We start from the raw sequence: 20167 nt of genomic DNA, 5'->3' as shown, positions 1-20167 counted from the left end.
TAGATGTACAGTTTGCCACAAATTTGATCATAAGTCTACAACCATAGAAATATTTTTTCTTATATCTTCTTGGTACTTGAATTATATATTGAATATTTTCAAAATGCTTGATTGATTTATAACTAAGCAGAGACTGTTAGAATCCTGATAGAACTTTCAAATATGTTTTATTTTATATCAATACTCTTTAAATATTTTTGAATTATTTAATTTAAATAAATCATTCAATTATTTAAATTTATTTAATTTAAATAAATTATTTAAATAAATTAATTATTTAAATTTATTTGAATAAGTTAATTATAAATTGTTTAATTATTTAATTATAAATATGTATTATATAAAATACATATTTTATATATTTAAAATAATTTATAATTATAAATATGTATTATATAAAATGATTCAGAATGTTCTTTTGAATTAACTTTAATTGATGAGTGCAAATTGTCTTTATTTGTATCTCGCACTTTAGTGCAAAGAAAACCATGACTGCTTTTCTTATGATGCTAGGAAAAATTCCCCTAAGGTTTCAGAGGGAGCATGGCTCTGCTGAGTCCTTAAATTGGGACTTCCAGTTTCCAGAACTGTAAGACAATAAATGTCTGTTCTTTACGTTCCTCAGGTTATGGAATTTTATGAAAGCGGCTCTAGGAAGCTAAAATTTCAAAATTAGGTATAAATGTTACCCTTTAGTCATAAAAATAATTTGGACATTTTTCTTCATTCTATATGCTCTGGAATAATTCATTGAGTACTAAGCCTATGTGGTTTTTGAAGATTAAACTAGCCAGAATTATTGCTTTTATACAGTATAATCTGTTAATAACTATTTCTCTTCATCTATAGAAATCGATATATTTGAAGTTTTAGACTTTATATGGGCTCAAATTTGATAAATTATATACTTCTATTTTTTGTTTTCAATTTATTTAGATAAAGATTGCAAAATCTGTTGTTTGCTAATGTAATTTGTTGCAATAGTTATTTCTTTGTCACATCTTAATTTTTCTAGATTTTTATTCCATCTTTATTATGTTAGATAGTAGGTTGTTTTATTATTTAATCAAAAAGAGGACTTATAATTAGTAATTTCATCTGTTTTTGTTCTTATAATTTCTGATTTTATATGATTTCTGTCCTTGTACTTTTTTGCTGTGTTGAGATTGGATTTAATTTTTTAAATTTTTGATTATATGTGCTTCAGGCATAAACCTAGGCATTTCACTGTTTTAGATACACAACATGTAGTAATATGGTATGATTATGATTCTTTCATTACATTTTTTATATACCAATTTTAAGCAAGAGGTATTGAATATAATATTTCTATTTAATTTTCAGTTAAAATGGCCTTTGGCTTTGCAGTTACTATCAGATATCTGGTTTTAATGTATTATTATTGGAAACTTTAAAAAATATTTCTACTCTATGGCATTTATTGCTGTTCTCTTCATAAAATTAAAAAAATAAATGTTCTAAGTGCATAAAAATAATTTATATTCTCTATTATTAGGGTATATAGTTTGATATCTGTATTTACCAATGACTTTATTCATGATGCAGTTAGGTCTTGCATATTGTCAGTTTTATCAGTATTATGCTGACAGTGGTGACTTTTTATTTATTTTACTTTTATAAGTTTATTTCTATCTATGGTTCCTTGAATCTACTATTGTTTCTGCTTTACAAAGTTTCTGTCTTATCTGCTGCTTGTGTATACTGGTTTACATCTTTACTGTGATTCATTATTTAACACTGAAACGCAGTCTTCCCTTGGCTCCTTCAGTTATTTTGGCATGCATTTTAAGATGTTTATTATTAAAAACACAAATTCTGCTTTCTTTTTATTTTCATTTATCTGGTATTCTTTTGTCAATCTCTTTATTTTTAGCCACCTGAATTACCTTGTGTTAATGCATTGTGTCTTATATACAGTAAACAAATCTTTGTAAGTTAAATTAAAAATATTTTTTGTAAATAACTGGCTAATTTTATAATTTTTTTATTGATGGGATAGGTCAGTTTGATGTATTCTCTGTCTTATTATTCTGTTATAATTATTACTATGTGTAATATATTATGTTCGCCCTGCTTTATTTTTTGTACTGGGTGCTGTCTTTTGTTCTTTGTAAATTCTTTTGGAATCTAAAAATGTTTATATTTTTGTTCTAGTGGTTACCTTTGTGCTTATATGTTTTTTGGAACACTTAACCCCCTGTTTCTGTATTTACCCTTTTATTATCCTTGTGTTAGTGGCAATGATGTTTTTGATTTCCATCTACTGCTTCTACCATTAATGTGCTGTTTCTCTTCCCCACTTTGTTTCCCTCCCGTGGTTTTAGTTGCATTATTTCTATTGCGACAGTATGTTCAATATTTATATCTTAGTTTTCACCCTTTTTCCTGTTTTACTGGAATCTTAGATCTAGAATGAAGTATATTTAAGGCTCACTCTATTCCCTTGGCCCAAGTCTTGTTTCTCAGAATCCTGTGCTCTCCTTTTCTGTTTCTTTTTCCTTTGCCAGCTGCTTTCAAAGTTCACCTCCACCAGCTTCCCTTTCACTTGCTTCTCCTTCAGAAGCATCTTTTGCCCAAGACTACCTCACTTGTGTCTGTGCACTCTATGCCCTCAATGTCACGTTCTCTCTTCCATACATGTTTTGTTTTGGTTTTTGTTTCTGTGTTGTTTTACTTGTTTGCTTCTTTTGTTTTGGTACTTTGTTTTCATCTTCTTGCTCCCCACGAAGACTTGCAGCATGATCTCAACTGTTTTCTCTGCTAGAAATAGATTTTTCAATTCACCAGTTTATTAAAGTATGTAGGGTTCCCTTCCTTGAAGTTTTTCTGAAGCCATGACTTTTGGCATAGTTTAATATGATCTACAAAATGTGTCAGAAGATTTGACAAGATTTATGGAGAACTTCACAATGAGGTGACTACCACTAATTTGGCTGTCCAAAAATGTAATTATTTTTATAATTTTTGAAGTATTTTATATTAGTATCAATGATACTCTATTATAATATTTCACATTAAAATTTCTAACAGTAACAGTATCTCATAAGTGCAGCAAAATGTTTTATGTCAGATGCATTATTTAAACAAGCTAATATTTTTTGTTTTACACCGTGTAATTTTTTTTGTAACTTTTCCAAAATCAACTCTTCCTTTCTCTTTCATCCCTTGAAACAGAACCCTGGTTTATTCAAATGTCCACTATTTCCTCATGCACTACATGAGTTGTAGGATCACATGATTCCACATTCATTTCATGACTAAAGTGTGATGAAACTAATTGGAAAAAATTCAAAACCATCCCTATAAACTTTATGAAATTAATCAGGAAAAAAGAGGGGAGAAATGAAAATAAACCAAACTTGCAGCATATTAAGCATTAATCATTGGGTCATCTTGCTCTCTGATATGGTTTGGCTGTGTGTCCCCACCCAAATCTCATCTTGAATTGTAATCCCCATGTGTTGGGAGAGGGAACTGGTGGGAGGTGATTGGATCATGAGGGATCCCTTCCCCCTTCCTGTTATCAGTCATAATAGTGAGTTCTTGTGAGATCTGATGGTGTAGAGGTGTGTGGCAATTCCCTCCCTGCTCTCCCCTCCTGCTTTGCTATGGTAAGACATGCTTGCTTCCCCTTTGCCTTCTTCCCTGATTGTAAGTTTCCTGAGGCCTCTTACCCATGGTTTCTGTACAGCCTATAGAATTGTGAGTCAATTAAACCTCTTTTCATCATAAATCACCCAGTCTCAGGTAGTTTTTTATGGCAGTGTGAGAACAGACTAATACACTCTCTGACTTACTCCCTCATAGTTGCTTGCTTATTGCCTCAGAATCACATAGACCCTGTTACAAGATTATAATTGCCTTAACTGCTCTATAGATAACAACTTGAATATTAAGAAATATTAACTTTTCCTTTTGAGATATTCTTTTAGGTTCTGCATACCAGTGAAACTACTAATGCTAGCGGGTCTGAAAGATCCTACAAATAGCTGACTCAACATAAAATGCAGTTTCCGCATCCCAATAGCCATACCAATCAATGACCCCAAATTTCCAGTTCCTTGCCCTCCACGATCCCCTCAAAATCCCAAAACCAGAAGACGGGATGGATTTGAGGATCTCCTTCCATCCCTCGCTCAGTGCCCTGTGATCATTAAACTCTTTCTCTGCTGCAAGTTCTGCTGTCTCAGCGTATTGATCTGTTGCTGTGCAGCAGTCCTACAAACCTGTTGGTCTTATAACAGTTTCATAACTCTTGCTGCAGTCTTTTACTAGAAAAGACTGTGGTCCATTCAGGTCAGTGATATATGAGGATAGGCATGTTTGTATCTTTTGGGAAAGAAGGTTCCTTATTATTTTTTGTTTTTGGAAGAACTTCAGAAAGCATCATTAAAATCTAGCTGGACTTTCTGAGGAAGCATGTTGGGTTGAATATTACAATGATATTCCCACTCCTGCAAGGACACCAACCGTAGTAAGAAACCATCCTTTATATTACAAAGTAGAATCACAAAGGCCCTTTGGCCACTTTTCAATCTTTCTAATATCTATTTTATATAAAAAATTCATTTAATGAACCAATCAATTATGCTTGCAAAAGTTTCAGTTGACTTTTCTGTTACACAATTCCAAACTACTTACTGCTTATATATTAACTATTTAACTGATATAAAATCACACTTCATTATATTTTAAATAAAAATTATATGTATACTACCTAATGAGAAGTCATTAGCATAGGCATAAAATCACAAAATTATATCTTCAAATGAGAGTTCAGACATTTTTAGGACTCATTTCCCCAACAGTACAAGTCCACAAGAATTTAAGCTCTGCATGAGTACTCTAACAATTATGAGCTTGCTAGTTTATAAAGTGTATCTTCCATTCTCACATAATTTTTAACTTGTCATACCTGAGGGATATGAAGCACAGACTTTTTGTACATTACAACCTCTACAACTGTAAAAAATTCAGAATCTTATTCTCACGACAAAAAGTTGTATCTATTCTCTTGATTATTTTAGAATATATTTTTCTTATCAAATGGAAATCTTCATATCGATTTTTGCATGCCATCTTCAGAATAATGATGATGACTACAGATTATATATAATTTTACACCATCTAGCACAAATACTAAAGGACTTCATTAAGTTTTTTTATTTTTTTCTTTGTTGGATGACTTACTTTTTAAACACAGGCTATAAACATGTCTAGTCCTACAATGTTTTAATTATTTTAAATGCCACACGAATCCTGAGTCTGCTATTTTAAAATTATTTTTACAAATATGTTATGTATTTCAATTTATATTATTTAACAAGTTGATCTTACATATATTTCTTTTTATAATTTGATTTGCTTTCTGAAATAGTTCGGATGTGTGTCCCCACCAAAATCCCATGTTGAATCATAATCATTAATATTGGAGGTGACCAAAGATGGCCAAATAAGAAAAGCTCCATTCTGCAGCTCCCAGCGAGATCAATGCACAAGGCAGGTGACTTCTGCATTTCCAACTGAGGTGCCCAGCTCGTCTCACTGGGACTGGTTAGACAGTGGGTGCAGCCCACGGAGGGAGAGCCTAAGCAGGGTGGGGCGTGGCCTTACCCAGGAAGCCCAAGGAGTTGGGGAGCTCCCTCCCCTAGCCAAGGGAAGCCGTGAGAGACTGTGCAGTGAGGAACAGTGCACTCCGGCTCAGATACTAGGCTTTTCCCACATTCTTTACAATCTACAGACCAGGAGATTCCCTAGGGTGCCTATGCCACCAGGGCCCAGGGTTTCAAGCACAAAACTGGATGGTCATTTGGAAAGACACCAAGCTAGCTGCAGGAGTTTTTTTTTCTTACCCTGGTGGTACCTGAAATGCCAGCAAGACAGAACCTTTCACTCCCCTGGAAAGGGGGCTGAAGCCAGGGAGCCAAGTGGTCTAGCTCAGTGGGTCCCACCCCCATGGAGCCCAGCAAGCTAAGATCTACTGGCTTGAAATTTTTGCGGCCAACACAGCAGTGTGAGGTTGAACTGGGACGCTCGAGCTTGGTGAGGGGAGGGGCGTCCACCATTACTGAGGCTTGAGTAGGCAGTTTTCCCCTCAACTGTAAACAAAGCAACTGGGAAGTTTGAACTTGGCAGAGCCCACTCCAGCTCCGCAAAGCCACTGTAGCCAGACTGCCTCTCTAGATTTCTCCTCTCTGGGCAGAGCATCTCTGAAAGAAAGGCAGGAGTTCCAGTCAGGGGCTTATAGATAAAACGCCCCGTCTCCCTGGGACAGAGCACCTGAGGGAAGGGCCGGCTGTGGGTGCAGTTTCAGCAGACTTAAATGTTCCTGCCTGTTGGCTCTGAAGAGAGCAGCGGATCTCCCAGCACAGTTCTAGAGCTCTGCTAAGAGACAGACTGCCTCAAGTGTGTCCCTGACCCCTGTGCCTCCTGACCTTGAGACACCTCCCAGCAGGGGTTGACAGATACCTCATACAGGAGAGCTCTGGCTGGCATCTGGCAGATGGCCCTCTGTGACTAAGCTTTCAGAGGAAGGAACGGGCAGCAATCTTTGCTGTTCTGTAGCCTCTGCTGGCGATACCCAGGAAAACAGGGTCTGGAGTGAACTTCTAGCAATTACCAGCACACCTGCAGCAGAGGGGCCTAAACGTTAGAAGGAAAACTAACAAACAGAAAGGAATAGCATCAACATTAACAAAAAGGATGTCCACACACAAACCCCATCCAAAGGACACCAACATCAAAGACCAAAGGTAGATAAATCCACAAGATGAGGAAAAACCAATACAAACGGGCTGAAAATTGCAATAACCAGAATGCCTCTCCTCCTCCAAAGGATCGCAACTCCTCTCCAGTAAAAGAACAAAGCTGGATGGAGAATGAATTTGAAGAATTGACAAAAGTAGGCTTCAGAGGGTGGGTAATAAACTCTTCTGAGCTAAAGGATCCTGTTCTAACCCAATGCAAGGAAGCTAAGAACCTTCAAGAAAGCTTAGAGGAACTGCTAACTAGAATAACCAGTTTAGAGAAGAACATAAATGACGTGATGGAGCTGAAAAACACAACATGAGAACTTTGTAAAGAATACACAAGTATCAATAGCTGAATCAATCAAGCGGAAGAAAGGCTATCAGAGATTGAAGATCAACTTAATGAAATAAAGCATGAAGACAAGATTAGAGAATAAAGAATAAAAAGGAATGAACAAAGACTCCAAGAAATATGGGACTACGGGAAAAGCCCAAACCTACATTTGATTGCTATACCTGAAAGTGACAGGAAGAATGGAACCAAGTTGGAAAAAACTCTTCAGAATATTATCCAGAAGAACTTCCCCAGCCTAACAAGACAGGCCAACATTCAAATTCAGGAAATACAGAGAACACCACAAAGATACTCCTTGAGAAAAGCAACCCCAAGACACATAATAATTATCAGATTCACTAAGGTTGAAATGAAGGAAAAAATGTTAAGGGCAGACAGAGAGAAATGTCGGGTTACCCACAAAGGAAAGCCCATCAGACTAACAGTGGATCTCTCTGCAGAAACCCTACAAGCCAGAAGACAGTGGTGGCTAATATTTAACAATTTTAATAAGTGTTCTGAGTAATCTCATTTCCCACCTTGGAATTGGTCAATTCTCAAATTTTAAGATAGATTTGGCCATGATCTTTTATTTTTATTTTTATAATTTGGAGACAGGATCTCACTCTTTCTCCCAGGCTGGAGCACAGTGATGTGATCACAGCTCACTGCTGCCTCAAACTCCCAGGCTCAAGTGACCCTCCCACCGCAGCCTCCTAAGTAGCTGGAGCTACAGCTGTGAATCACCAAGCCTGACTACATTTTTGTAGAGATGCGGTTTCATCGTGTTGCCCAGGATGGTCTCCAACTCCTGGGCTCAAGCATCTGCCTGCCTTGGCCACTTAACTTGTTCTTATTACTTATCTAAAGTAGCCCTTGACACATGGACTCTGATTGTGCTCTATGTGCTCTTGGTCAGGAAAAATATGAGACAGCCTCTTTTTCTAAGCTCCAGCCTCTCATGTTGCCACTGGCACTCAGGAATCCAGCTGATGTGGTTGTCTTTCTCTGATTTTTTTTTTTTTTAGTTGCAAGCACAGTTCAACATGTATTTAATTAAAAAAACAAAGCTTCAGACAAAAAAAAATGCCTAGCTTATATGTTAATGACTATTAATGTGAGGGATCATTTTGCATTGTAAATTTGATTAGTAAACCACAAAGTAAATCTTCCTACTATTGAATCACTATTGGTATAATGGAACTCATCCAGAGATACCTCTTTGCTTCTTTCCAGTATTTCTGCTTTCCTGCATTATTTAAGTCTCTGAAGAAAATTGTAAAGTCACATTTCAGGCACTGTCCCAGAGTTATGTTTCCAGAAGTAGAATCCAAGTTTAGATTGTATATAATGGTAGTAAATTTCTGTCAGTATGATGGTAGGAATTGGCCTCATTCTCCCACAACACCACACACAGAAACATATACACATAGACATACACCCCCATCCCATCCCCCACACATATATACACAAGGGTGGAGGAGGGAGAGGAAGAGATAGAGAAATGCTTGGCCAGATAAAACCAAATAAGGAACAAATGCACTTCTGTATTGATAAACTACAGACATGAGGAATTAACAGGATTCTAAACTTTATTCTGTGACTGATAATCAGTCACAGTCAAGCAGAAAACAGCATAGTCAGATTAAGACACTGTGAGAAGATTTTACTAAAAAGGCAGATTTTATAGATACAGGAAGGTGACTGGGAAATCACATGAGATGGGGGTGATTCCTGGGCTATAAGATGGGCTGATAGTAACCCTATGCCCGATGGGCAGAAGAAAGGCTGTGCTATCTGAACTGGAAATACAGAGGGCCGTCGGGAGGCCCACCTTATGGGAGCTGAGCTACTCTGCAGCAGATGCAGCCACCAGGAGGTAGGTGACCAAGCAGAGGGGACCCCAGGCTCCAACCAACCACACTGACCTCGCTTCTCTCTCCTTTCAGTGTGATAGGGCTTCATACTGCCCAGACACAAAAAGAAGACAGAAGGTAAGAAAGAGCCTGGATGTCATCCAAACAGGTGAATTTTTGGAGTTCAGAGAGCAGGGCAGAGAATAGGGAAGAGTCTCTCCTCAGAGGCATGGGGCAGAAAGTAAAGACGATAAGGAGAATTAACCTTAGCTTTTGCAAAATAGAAGTTTAGAAGGAAGTGGTCCTTTTTCTTAAAGATGACTAAGAAACACTATTCTCTGATCTAGGGAAGTACAAAGAAAGTTTACTTCTCTGTCACCCAAAGCACTGGGTTGGGAAAAATGATCTTCAAGTAAATGAACAAATGGATGGAAATAAATATTATAAATGGAGTTGATAAAGCTCTGGTACATTTCAATGTGGTGCCTAAATTCATATGTGTGGCATAAATACACTACAAGTTCTAGATTGGCAAAATCCCAGGGATTTTGAACCATCTATGAAAAACGTTCACAAATTGGAAGGCAGAAGACTCCTATCTAAACAAAGACAAATGGTTCCTACAGAAAATGTGATCACAATAAAAATAACTAAACTCCACTTCTATTTCATTATTACACAAAATACGGTGTGTTCTGGGAAATACTGTCATATAATGTAATGACTGAATATTGCCTATGGACACTCAAAGTCTTTCTCATCATGACCATACAGTAGGGGCTGAGAATTTATTAAAGAAACTAGTTTTAAAATAAATCAAAATTAATATCTCAATCATATGTAATGAAAATAAAAGGAAATGTTAACTTCAAAGAGGCTTATGTTAAAATGGAGTAAGCTACAGGTTTCAGCAATCTTCTATACTACTCTACACTCTGAAGGGCTATCATGCAGCCTTAAGTATCAATAGAAAAGCTCAGCCCTGTTCTTTTGAAAAACAGGAAGTTCTGCAAGTATCACGTTGCTAGACATTTTAAGATTATACAATACTTATGTTATTAAAAATCTGTATGTGTTATTTTAAATCTAGGCTCTCACTGGAGTGAGATATTGGTTCATTTTTGCTTTTGAATTTCAAGCACATTTCAAACGTACTAAATATTAAAGAAAATGATATCCTCATCTTCTTACATGTACTAGATGTTTTTCCAGACTATATGAAGGAATGTTTCAAAATGTCTAACATTGGATAACTTGATCATGATTCTTAGAATGGATTTGCATTATTCATTGTGAAAAGTATCCACTAAATTGTGAACATTTTTAGCAAGTTCCATATTACTGAGAATAATCAATAAATGATAGTGAAATTGACAGTAAAAAAGGTTTTTGACTCTGTCTAAAATAATCTACTCACCCATCAAGTTTAAAATTAGGTAAGCTCTGATGCAGCTTTGAGGATTTCCAAATATTAGAAAGATCATGCTAATGAGGAGTTATAAATGCCACATAAAAGACTTTTGGCATTTTTATACATAGCTTGATAATAGAATTGAATGCTTTCTTCAATAAGGACATGACTTCCACTAGTTTTTAGAGGGGCACATGACATTCCAGGATTCTGGGGAAATTCCTGGAGACACACTCAGCAGCCTGAATAAAGTCTGTAAATTAGGCCCATTAGTGGTGTGGAGCTATTCACTAGGAGAGCTGATGCCCACCCACATTCCCATTCAGATCCCAGGAAAGACGCTTTGGTGGAACAAGTGATTACAGGAACAGTTCCGGCAATTTAGAGACATGTTCATCATGAAAGGCAAGGTCTGATCAACACATGTCATCTTACTGCATATCAATGATCTTTTAATGTGATCATGATTGTATTTGTTATTAAAGCTCATAAAAATAGGGAAGTAGTAACAGATTATCACTGATGCGGTATGTGCAAGGGAAAATGTCCTCGGTTGTTAAACTCTGGTATTAGAAAAGAGATGAAATAAACTAAACTCTGGTATTAGAAAAGAGAGATGAAATAAACTGAGTGTGGTATGTGCTGTCTGTTGCCCATGAAAGACTGGATGTCCTCATGATCAGGGAGACGAGCTAATGTCATTCTCTGCATATGGCATTGAAGAAGGAGGGCGATGCATGAAAGGAAATAGGGAAAGGAAATCATCAAAATAAAAGTTCTGTCTTTGGCGGTCTGATTAGTGTCATGACGCTGGTGGTGTCAAATGAACTTCACTGAGGTGGAGTATAGCTTTTATCTGTATTACAGTTTCCCCAAATATTTCCCTTGCTTCACGTTGTTCAAAGAAATGTGCATGAAAATAAGGTGTGCTACGTTTTTATCAGGGCTTTAAAAGCCAATGTGAAGTTGGCCATACCCTCTTCCCATTTCTACTGCTCTAGAGAAGTGGAAGCCTGTTGAAAAAGCAGCCTGGGCCTCTGGTTGGCTGCAATTAGCAGAAGCCCCTGATCTCTGTTGTAAAGGCAGCCTAAGTTAAAAAGGGTCTCTTCTTTGTTAAGCCTGTGAGATTCAAAGACCAACATCTGACCCTACCACGCCCTACCGATATTGGCTTTTCCAATAATATATGATGTTAACTATTTTGTCATATGCTCATTTTCCATCTGTATATCTTTCTGATGAGATGTTTGTAAAGATTTCTACCCCATTTTATACTTGGATGACTCCTTTTCTTACTGTTGGGTTTTATGAGTTCTTTGTATATTTTTAAGAACTGTCATTTGTCAGATATTTCTTTTGCAAATATTTTCTCCTACTCTGTGACGTGCCTTTTTATTCTCTTTACAGTTTCTTTTACAGAGCAGAAAATTTCAATTTTAATAAAGTCCAGCTTATTAATATATTTTAGTGAATCATACTTATTGTCAGGCCTCTGAGCCCAAGCCAAGCCATCGCATCCCCTGTGACTTGCACGTATATGCCCAGATGGCCTGAAGTAACTGAAGAATCACAAAAGAAGTGAATACGCCCTGCCCCACCTTAACTGATGACATTCCACCACAAAAGAAGTGTAAATGGCCGGTCCTTGCCTTAAGTGATGACATTACCTTGTGAAAGTCCTTTTCCTGGCTCATCCTGGCTCAAAAAGACTCCCACTGAGCACCTTTCGACCCCCACTCCTGCCCGCCAAAGAACAACCCCCCTTTGACTGTAATTTTCCTTTACCTACCCAAATCCTATCAAACGGCCCCACCCCATCTTCCTTTGCTGACTCTCTTTTCGGACTCAGCCTGCCTGCACCCAGGTGGAATAAACAGCCATGTTGCTCACACGAAGCCTGTTTGGTGGTCTCTTCACACGGACACGCATGAAATTTGGTGCCGTGACTCGGATCGGGGGACCTCCCTTGGGAGATCAATCCCGTCCTCCTGTTCTTTGCTCTGTGAGAAAGATCCACCTACGACCTCAGGTCCTCAGACCGACCAGCCCAAGGAACATCTCACCAATTTTAAATCAGGTAAGCGGCCTCTTCTTACTGTCTTCTCCAACCTCTCTCACTGTACCTCAACCACTTTCTCCTTTCCACTCTTCAGTCTCTCCCTTCTCTTAATTTCAATTCCTTTCGTTTTCTGGGAGAGACAAAGGAGACACATTTTATCCGTGGACCCAAAACTCCAGCGCCGGTCACGGACTGGGAAGGCAGCCTTCCCTTGGTGTTTAATCATTGCAGGGACGCCTGATTATTCATCCACGTTTCAAAGGTGTCAGGCCACGCAGGGATGCCTGCCTTGGTCCTTCGCCCTTAGTGGCAAGTCCCGCTTTTCTGGGGAAGGGGCAAGTACCCCAACCCCTTCTCTCCTTGTCTCTACCCCTTCTCTGCTTTTCTGGGGGAGGGGCAAGTACCCCTCAACCCCTTCTCCTTCACTCTTAGCGGCAAGTCCCGCTTTTCTAGAGGGGCAAGTACCCCAACCTCGTATCTCTGCGCCCCAATCCCTTATTTCTGCGCCCCAACCTCTTATATCTCTGTGCCCCAATCCCTTATTTCCACACCCCAACCTCTTATCTCTGCACCCCAACCCCTTATTTCCGTGCCCCTACCCCTTATTTCTGTGCCCCAACCTCTTATCTCTGTGCCCCAACCCCTTTTCCCACTTTTCTGGAAGGTGAGAGAGTAGAGAAACGGAGGGGAGGGGTTCGGGGGTTCTTTTTTCTCTAGGCTTGCTTCCTTCACTATAGGCAACCTTCCACCCTCTATTCCTCCTTCTACTCCCTTGGCCTGTGTTCTCAAAAACTTAAAACCTCATCAACTCTTACCTGACCTAAAACCTAAATGCCTTATTTTCTTCTGCAGTGCCTCTTGACCCCAATACAAACTCAACAGTAGTTCCAAATAGCCAGAAAATGGCACTTTGAATTTTTCCATCCTGCAAGATCTAAATAATTCTTGTCGTAAAATAGGCAAATGGTCTGAGGTGCCTGACGTCCAGGCATCCTTTTACACATCAGTCCCTTCCTAGTCTCTGTGCCCAGTGCAACTCGTCCCAAATCTTCCTTCTTTACCTCCCACCTGTCCCCTCAGTACCAACCCCAAGCGTCCCTGAGTCTTTCTAATCTTCCTTTTCTACAGACCCATCTGACCTCTCCCTTCCTCCCAGGCTGCTTCTCGCCAGGCCGAGCTAGGTCCCAATTCTTCCTCAGCCTCTGCTCCTCCACCCTATAATCTTTTTATCGCCTCCCCTCCTCACACCTGGTCCGGCTTACAGTTTCGTTCCGTGACTAGCCCTCCCCCTCCTGCCCAGCAATTTACTCTTAAAAAGGTGGCTGGAGCTAAAGGCATAGTCAAGGTTAATGCTCCTTTTTCTTTATCCGAAATCAGATAGCATTTAGGCTCTTTTTCATCAAATATAAAAATCCAGCCCAGTTCATGACTTGTTTGGCAGCAACCCTGAGACACTTTACAGCCCTAGACCCTAAAAGGTCAAAAGGCAGTCTTATTCTCAAAATACATTTTATTACCCAATCTGCTCCCGACATTAAATAAAACTCCAAAAATTAAATTCCGGCCTTCAAACCCCGCAACAGGATTTAATTAACCTCGCCTTCAAGGTGTACGACAATAGAAAAAAGTTGCAATTCCTTGCCTCCACTGTGAGACAAACCCCAGCCACATCTCCAGCACACAAGAACTTCCAAACGCCTGAACCGCAGCGGCCAGGCATTCCTCCAGAACCTCCTCCCACAGGAGCTTGCTACACCTGCCGGAAATCTGGCCACTGGGCCAAGGAATGCCCACAGCACAGGATTCCTCCTAAGCCGCGTCCCATCTGTGTGAGACCCCACTGAAAATTGGACTGTTCAACTCACCTGGTAGCCACTCCCAGAGCCCCTGGAACTCTGGCCCAAGGCTCTCTGACTGACTCCTTCCCAGATCTTCTCGGCTTAGCGGCTGAAGACTGACACTGCCCGATCGCCTCGGAAGCCCCCTAGACCATCACGGACGCCGAGCTTCGGGTAACTCTCACAGTGGAAGGTGAGCCCATCCCCTTCTTAATCAATACGGAGGCTACCCACTCCACATTACCTTCTTTTCAAGGGCCTGTTTCCCTTGCCTCCATAACTGTTGTGGGTATTGACGGCCAGGCTTCTAAACCTCTTAAAACTCCCCAACTCTGTGCCAACTTAGACAATACTCTTTTAAGCACTCCTTTTTAGTTATCCCCACCTGCCCAGTTCCCTTATTAGGCTGAGACACTTTAACTAAATTATCTGCTTCCCTGACTATTCCCGGACTACAGCTATATCTCATTGCCGCCCTTCTTTCCTATCCAAAGCCTCCTTTGCGTCCTCCTCTTGTATCCCCCCACCTTAACCCACAAGTATAAGATACCTCTACTCCCTCCTTGGCGACCGATCATGCACCCCTTACCATCTCATTAAAACCTAATCACCCTTACCCCACTCAACGCCAATATCCCATCCCACAGCACGCTTTAAAAAGATTAAAGCCTGTTATCACTCGCCTGCTACAGCAGGGCCTTTTAAAGTCTATAAACTCTCCTTACAATTCCCCCATTTTACCCGTCCTAAAACCAGACAAGTCTTACAAGTTAGTTCAGGATCTGCGCCTTATCAACCAAATTGTTTTGCCTATCCACCCCATGGTGCCAAACCCATATACTCTCCTATCCTCAATACCTGCCTCTACAACCCATTATTCTGTTCTAGATCTCAAACATGCTTTCTTTACTATTCCTTTGCACCCTTAATCCCAGCCTCTGTTCACTTTCACTTGGACTGACCCTGACACCCATCAAGCTCAGCAAATTACCTAGGCTGTACTGCCACAAAGCTTCACAGACAGCCCCCATTACTTCAATCAAGCCCAAATTTCTTCCTCATCTGTTACCTATCTCGGTATAATTCTCATAAAAACACACGTGCTCTCCCTGCCAATCGCGCCTGACCGATCTCTCAAACCCAAGCACCTTCTACAAAACAACAACTCCTTTCCTTCCTAGGCATGGTTAGCGTGGTCAGAATTCTTACACAAGAGCCAGGACCACACCCTGTAGCCTTTCTGTCCAAACAACTTGACCTTACTGTTTTAGCCTAGCCCTCATGTCTGCGTGCAGCGGCTGCCACTGCTTTAATACTTTTAGAGGCCCTCAAAATCACAAACTATGCTCAACTCACTCTCTACAGTTCTCATAACTTCCAAAATCTATTTTCTTCCTCATACCTGACGCATACACTTTCCGCTTCCCGGCTCCTTCAGCTATACTCACTCTTTTGTTGAGTCCCCGACAATTACCGTTGTTCCTGGCCCAGACTTCAATCCGGCCTCCCACGTTATTCCTGATACCACACCTGACCCCCATGACTGTATCTCTCTGATCCACCTGACATTCACCCCATTTCCCCAAATTTCCCTCTTTCCTGTTCCTCACCCTGATCACGCTTGATTTATTGATGGCGGTTCCACCAGGCCTAATAGCCACACACCAGCAAAGGCAGGTTATGCTATAGTACAAGCCACTAGCCCACCTCTTAGAACATCTCATTTCCTTTCCATCGTGGAACTCTATCCTCAAGGAAATAACTTCTCAGTGTTCCATCTGCTATTCTACTACTCCTCAGGGATTATTCAGGCCCCCTCCCTTCCCTACACATCAAGCTCGAGGATTTGCCCCACCCAGGACTAGCAAATTAGCTTTACTCAACATGCCCTGAGTCAGATAACTAAAATACCTCTTAGTCTAGGTAGATACTTTCACTGGATAGGTAGAGGCCTTTCCTACAGGGTCTGAGAAGGCCACCGCAGTCATTTCTTCTGTTCTGTCAGATATAATTCCTCAATTTAGCCTTCCCACCTCAATACAGTCTGATAACAGACGAGCCTTTATTAGTCAAATCAGCCAAGCAGTTTTTCAGGCTCTTAGTATTCAGTGAAACCTTTATATCCCTTACGGTCCTCCATCTTCAAGAAAAGTAGAATGGACTAAAGGTCTTTTAAAAACACACCTTACCAAGCTCAGCCACCAACTTAAAAAGGACTGGACAATACTTTTACCACTTTCCCTTCTCAGAATTCAGGCCTGTCCTCGGAATGCTACAGGGTACAGCCCATTTAAGCTGCTGTATAGACATAACTTGGCCCATGATAGCTAGTATTCAGTTCTTCCTTTTATGCACAACCACAGCCAGCAGGAAGCTACCAGAGAATATGCACCAGTGAAATAAGGTTGTAAATAAAAAAGATATGCAATCCATGAAACAGAACATCCAGCCAAGGATCATAACAGCAAATGCCAGCTCTGGTGAGCACGTTATATTGAAAAGGGTGTGACTGTGGTGAAAGACTTGCCACAAATCATGAAACAAAACCAACCAGCACTGACAGATCATTTAAAATGTTTAAATACTTGTAATACAGGAGTTAAGAAATAATTCTTAGGCAGCTAGAAAGGGTGAAAGTTCTTGTGGAATTTTCCTTTAATAAAAATCAGCCCCCAAACCGTTTCTTCCCTAACAGAAAGCAGCCTGAGAAGACAGGCATAGATATGCAAACTAGGAGCCTTTATATGTAAATGCTGGCAGCTATACCTGGAAGCCAGGTACATTCAATATGGCATCTTCCGCCCTCTCTTTCTTGTCACAACACTTACCAGTATCATGGCAGCCTCCAGGTAAAACTGTCCGGAATTGGTGGGTTCTTGGTCTCACTGACTTCAAGAATGAAGCCGCGGACACGTGCGGTGAGTGTTACAGTTCTTAAAGATGGTGTGTCCAGAGTTTGTTCCTTCTGATGTTCGGCCGCGTTTGGAGTTTCTTCCTTCTGGTGGGTCCGTGATCTCACTGGCTTCAGGAGTGAAGCTGCAGACCTTCGCGGTAAATGTTACAGCTCACAAACGCAGTGCGGACCCAAAGAGTGAGCAGCCGCAAGATTTATTGCAAAAGACCGAAAGAACAAGGTTTCTACACAGTACAAGAGGACCCGAGCAGGTTGCCGCTGCTGGAGCTGGCAGCCTGCTTTTATTCCCTTATCTGACTCCACCCACATCCTGCTGATTGGCCCATTTTACAGAGATCTAATTGGTCCATTTTACAGAGAGCTGATTGGTCCATTTTACCAAGAGCTGATTGGTCCGTTTTGACAGGGTGCTGATTGGTGCATTTACAAACCTTGAGCTAGACACAGAGTGCTGATTGGTGCATTTACAATCCTTTAGCTAGACACAAAAGTTCTCCAAGTCCCCACTAGATTAGCTAGACACAGAGCACTGATTGGTGCATTTACAAACCTTGAGCTAGACACAGAGTGCTGATTGGTGCATTTACAATCCTCTACCTAGACATAAAAGTTCTCCAAGTCCCCACCCAACTCAGGACGCCAGCTGGCTTCGCCTAGTGGATCCTGTGCCAGGGCTGTGGGCAGAGCGGCCCGCCAGTCCCACACCACGCACCTGCACTCCTCAGCTCTTGGGTGGTAGATGGGACCGGGTGCCACGGAGCAGGGGGCGGCGCCCATCAGGGAGGCTCAGGCCACGCAGGAGCCCACCACAGTGGGGGGCTTGGGCATGGCGGGCTGCAGGTCCTGAGCCCTGCCACACGGGGATGCAACTGAGGCCCAGCGAGAATTCGAGCATGGCATGGGCAGGCCAGCAGTGCTGGGGGACCCGGTGCACCTTCTGCAGCTGCTGGCCTGGGTGCTAAGCCCCTCACTGCCCAGGGCTGGCGGCGCTGGCCGCCCACTCCAAGTGCAGGGCCTGCCAAGCCTGGGCCCACTGGGAACTCACACTGGACCATGAGCACCGCACACACCCCCGGTTCCCGCCCGCACCTCTCCCTCCACACCTCCCTGCAAGCAGAGGGAGCCGGCTCCAGCCTCAGCCAGCCCAGAGAAGGCTCCCACAGTGCAGCGGTGGGCTGAAGGGCTTCTCAAGCGCAGCCAGAGTGGACGCCGAGGCCGAGGAGGCACCAAGAGCGAGCGAGGGCTGCTAGCATGTTGTCAGCTCTCAAAACCACATATACAGGCATCAGGGCCGCGGCTGAATGGAGGCCACATTTGCATAATAAAAGATTAGGGTTAGAGGGCCAATCTTTTCGCTTGCTATGTAGATGGAACACTGGGTCAAACCAATCCCCTGGACCCTATGTAAACCAATTACCTCCTCCTCTAGTCTCTATACAAAACAGTCTGCCTTCCTCCGCAAACTGGAGGCCCTCTTTTGGGCAACCCTCTTTCTCAGCACAGGGAAGCTTTTTCTCTCTCTCCTATTATTTTCCATTAAACTTTCCACTCCTAAATCCACTCCTCGTCTGCTCCTAAATCCTCATGTGTGTCCATGTCCTGAATTCTTTCTCTACCCAAACCAAGAACGAGTGAATATACCCCAAACAACGGAGCTGTTTCATTTGGACAGTAATTTCTAAGTGGTTATCAATTCTTGCAAAGTATTTTAGCAGCAGATAAATGTTAAACTAACAAAAGAAACATCAAAAATCAAAGTTATTATTAATTTAAGTAAAAAATATAAGTTGTAAAATAAAGGAACAATCATAGCAGACCACATGGTCAAACAGAACATGATAATGAGAGACAGGACTAGGTGGATTTTCTAGGCCGACTAAGAAGCCCTAAGCCTAGCTGGGAAGGTGACCGCATCTACCTTTAAACACGGGCTTGCAACTTAGCTCACACCCAACCAATTAGGTAGTAAAGAGAGCTCACTAAAAAGCTAATTAGGCAAAAACAGGAGGTAAAGAAATAGCCAATCATTTATTGCCTGAGAGCACAGCAGGAGGGACAATGATCGGGATATAAACCCAGGCATTGGAGCCAGCAACGGCTACCCTCTTTGGGTTCCCTCCCTTTGTATGGGAGCTCTTTTTTCACTCTATTAAATCTTGCAACTGCGCTCTCTTCTGGTCTGTGCTTGTTACAGCTCAAGCTGAGTTTTGCTGGCTGTCCACCACTGCTGTTTTCCGCCGTCGCAGACCCGCTGCTGAGTTCCATCCCTCCGGATCCACCAGGGTGTCCACTGTGCTCATGATCCAGCAAGGCGCCAATTGCCGCTCCTGATCGGGCTAAAGGCTTGCCATTGTTCCTGCACGGCTAAGTGCCTGGGTTCGTCCTAATCGAGCTGAACACTAGTCACTGGGTTCCACGGTTCTCTTCCATGACCCACAGCTTCTAATAGAGCTATAACACTCACTGCATGGCCCAAGATTCCATTCCTTGGAATCCGTGAGGCCAAGAACCCCAGGTCAGAGTATACGAGGCTTGCCACCACTTGGAAGCGGCCTGCCACCATTTTGGAAGCGGCCCGCTGCCATCTTGGGATCTCTGGGAGCAAGGACCCCCGGTAACAATTATGCATGCAATAATAACGTGAAACCAAATATTGTGATAGGGCTGAATTTTAGATGGATGAGGAAAGTAAAGGTGAGAAATGGCTGTGTAAACAAGATGGATCCTTCAACCACTAAAGGCCAATAAATAAATGCATATCGTCTAAAGTGGGTACCATAAGGAATTAAATTATAAACATATTGTTTAAAATATACAGGTAAAAATAAAGCAGTGAAAGTCACTAACTGGGGAACAGAGTGTGGCCTGAGAATATGGGTTTCAAAAGGGACTTGGTTTTGATATAAGACTTTTAGTACTATGAGACTTTTAAAAAATCAATGCACTCATGACAGAACTTTGTTTGACATTTAAAATGTTAGTCAC

General features: G+C 41.4%; 1 long non-coding RNA gene across 1 annotated transcript in view, besides 5 other annotated features; it reads right to left on the bottom strand.

Moving 5' to 3' along the window:
• The window catches only part of LINC01194 (long intergenic non-protein coding RNA 1194), a 230327-nt gene that overhangs the window by 125000 nt on the left and 85160 nt on the right, over positions 1 to 20167 (bottom strand). The window lies entirely within an intron of this gene.
• Positions 11487 to 12025: an enhancer, noted in NCBI's record as "OCT4-NANOG-H3K27ac hESC enhancer chr5:12668271-12668809 (GRCh37/hg19 assembly coordinates)". NCBI's record gives its function as "activates a minimal SCP1, AML or CMV promoter by ChIP-STARR-seq in naive and primed H9 embryonic stem cells {active_cell/tissue: H9 hESC(naive and primed)}" and the evidence as "EXISTENCE:reporter gene assay evidence [ECO:0000049][PMID:30033119]".
• Positions 12026 to 12564: an enhancer, noted in NCBI's record as "OCT4-NANOG-H3K27ac-H3K4me1 hESC enhancer chr5:12667732-12668270 (GRCh37/hg19 assembly coordinates)". NCBI's record gives its function as "activates a minimal SCP1, AML or CMV promoter by ChIP-STARR-seq in naive and primed H9 embryonic stem cells {active_cell/tissue: H9 hESC(naive and primed)}" and the evidence as "EXISTENCE:reporter gene assay evidence [ECO:0000049][PMID:30033119]".
• Positions 12565 to 13102: an enhancer, noted in NCBI's record as "NANOG-H3K27ac-H3K4me1 hESC enhancer chr5:12667194-12667731 (GRCh37/hg19 assembly coordinates)". NCBI's record gives its function as "activates a minimal SCP1, AML or CMV promoter by ChIP-STARR-seq in primed H9 embryonic stem cells {active_cell/tissue: H9 hESC(primed)}" and the evidence as "EXISTENCE:reporter gene assay evidence [ECO:0000049][PMID:30033119]".
• Positions 13103 to 13641: an enhancer, noted in NCBI's record as "NANOG-H3K27ac-H3K4me1 hESC enhancer chr5:12666655-12667193 (GRCh37/hg19 assembly coordinates)". NCBI's record gives its function as "activates a minimal SCP1, AML or CMV promoter by ChIP-STARR-seq in primed H9 embryonic stem cells {active_cell/tissue: H9 hESC(primed)}" and the evidence as "EXISTENCE:reporter gene assay evidence [ECO:0000049][PMID:30033119]".
• Positions 18253 to 18547: a silencer, noted in NCBI's record as "tiled region #1944; K562 Repressive non-DNase unmatched - State 23:Low". NCBI's record gives its function as "represses a minimal TATA promoter and a strong SV40 promoter by Sharpr-MPRA in K562 cells {active_cell/tissue: K562}" and the evidence as "EXISTENCE:reporter gene assay evidence [ECO:0000049][PMID:27701403]".

This window comes from Homo sapiens, chromosome 5 (assembly GCF_000001405.40).
Source record: "Homo sapiens chromosome 5, GRCh38.p14 Primary Assembly".
Classification (NCBI taxonomy): domain Eukaryota; kingdom Metazoa; phylum Chordata; class Mammalia; order Primates; family Hominidae; genus Homo; species Homo sapiens.
Note: the sequence above shows the minus strand (reverse complement) of the source record. Positions and strands in the feature narration are given on the sequence as shown.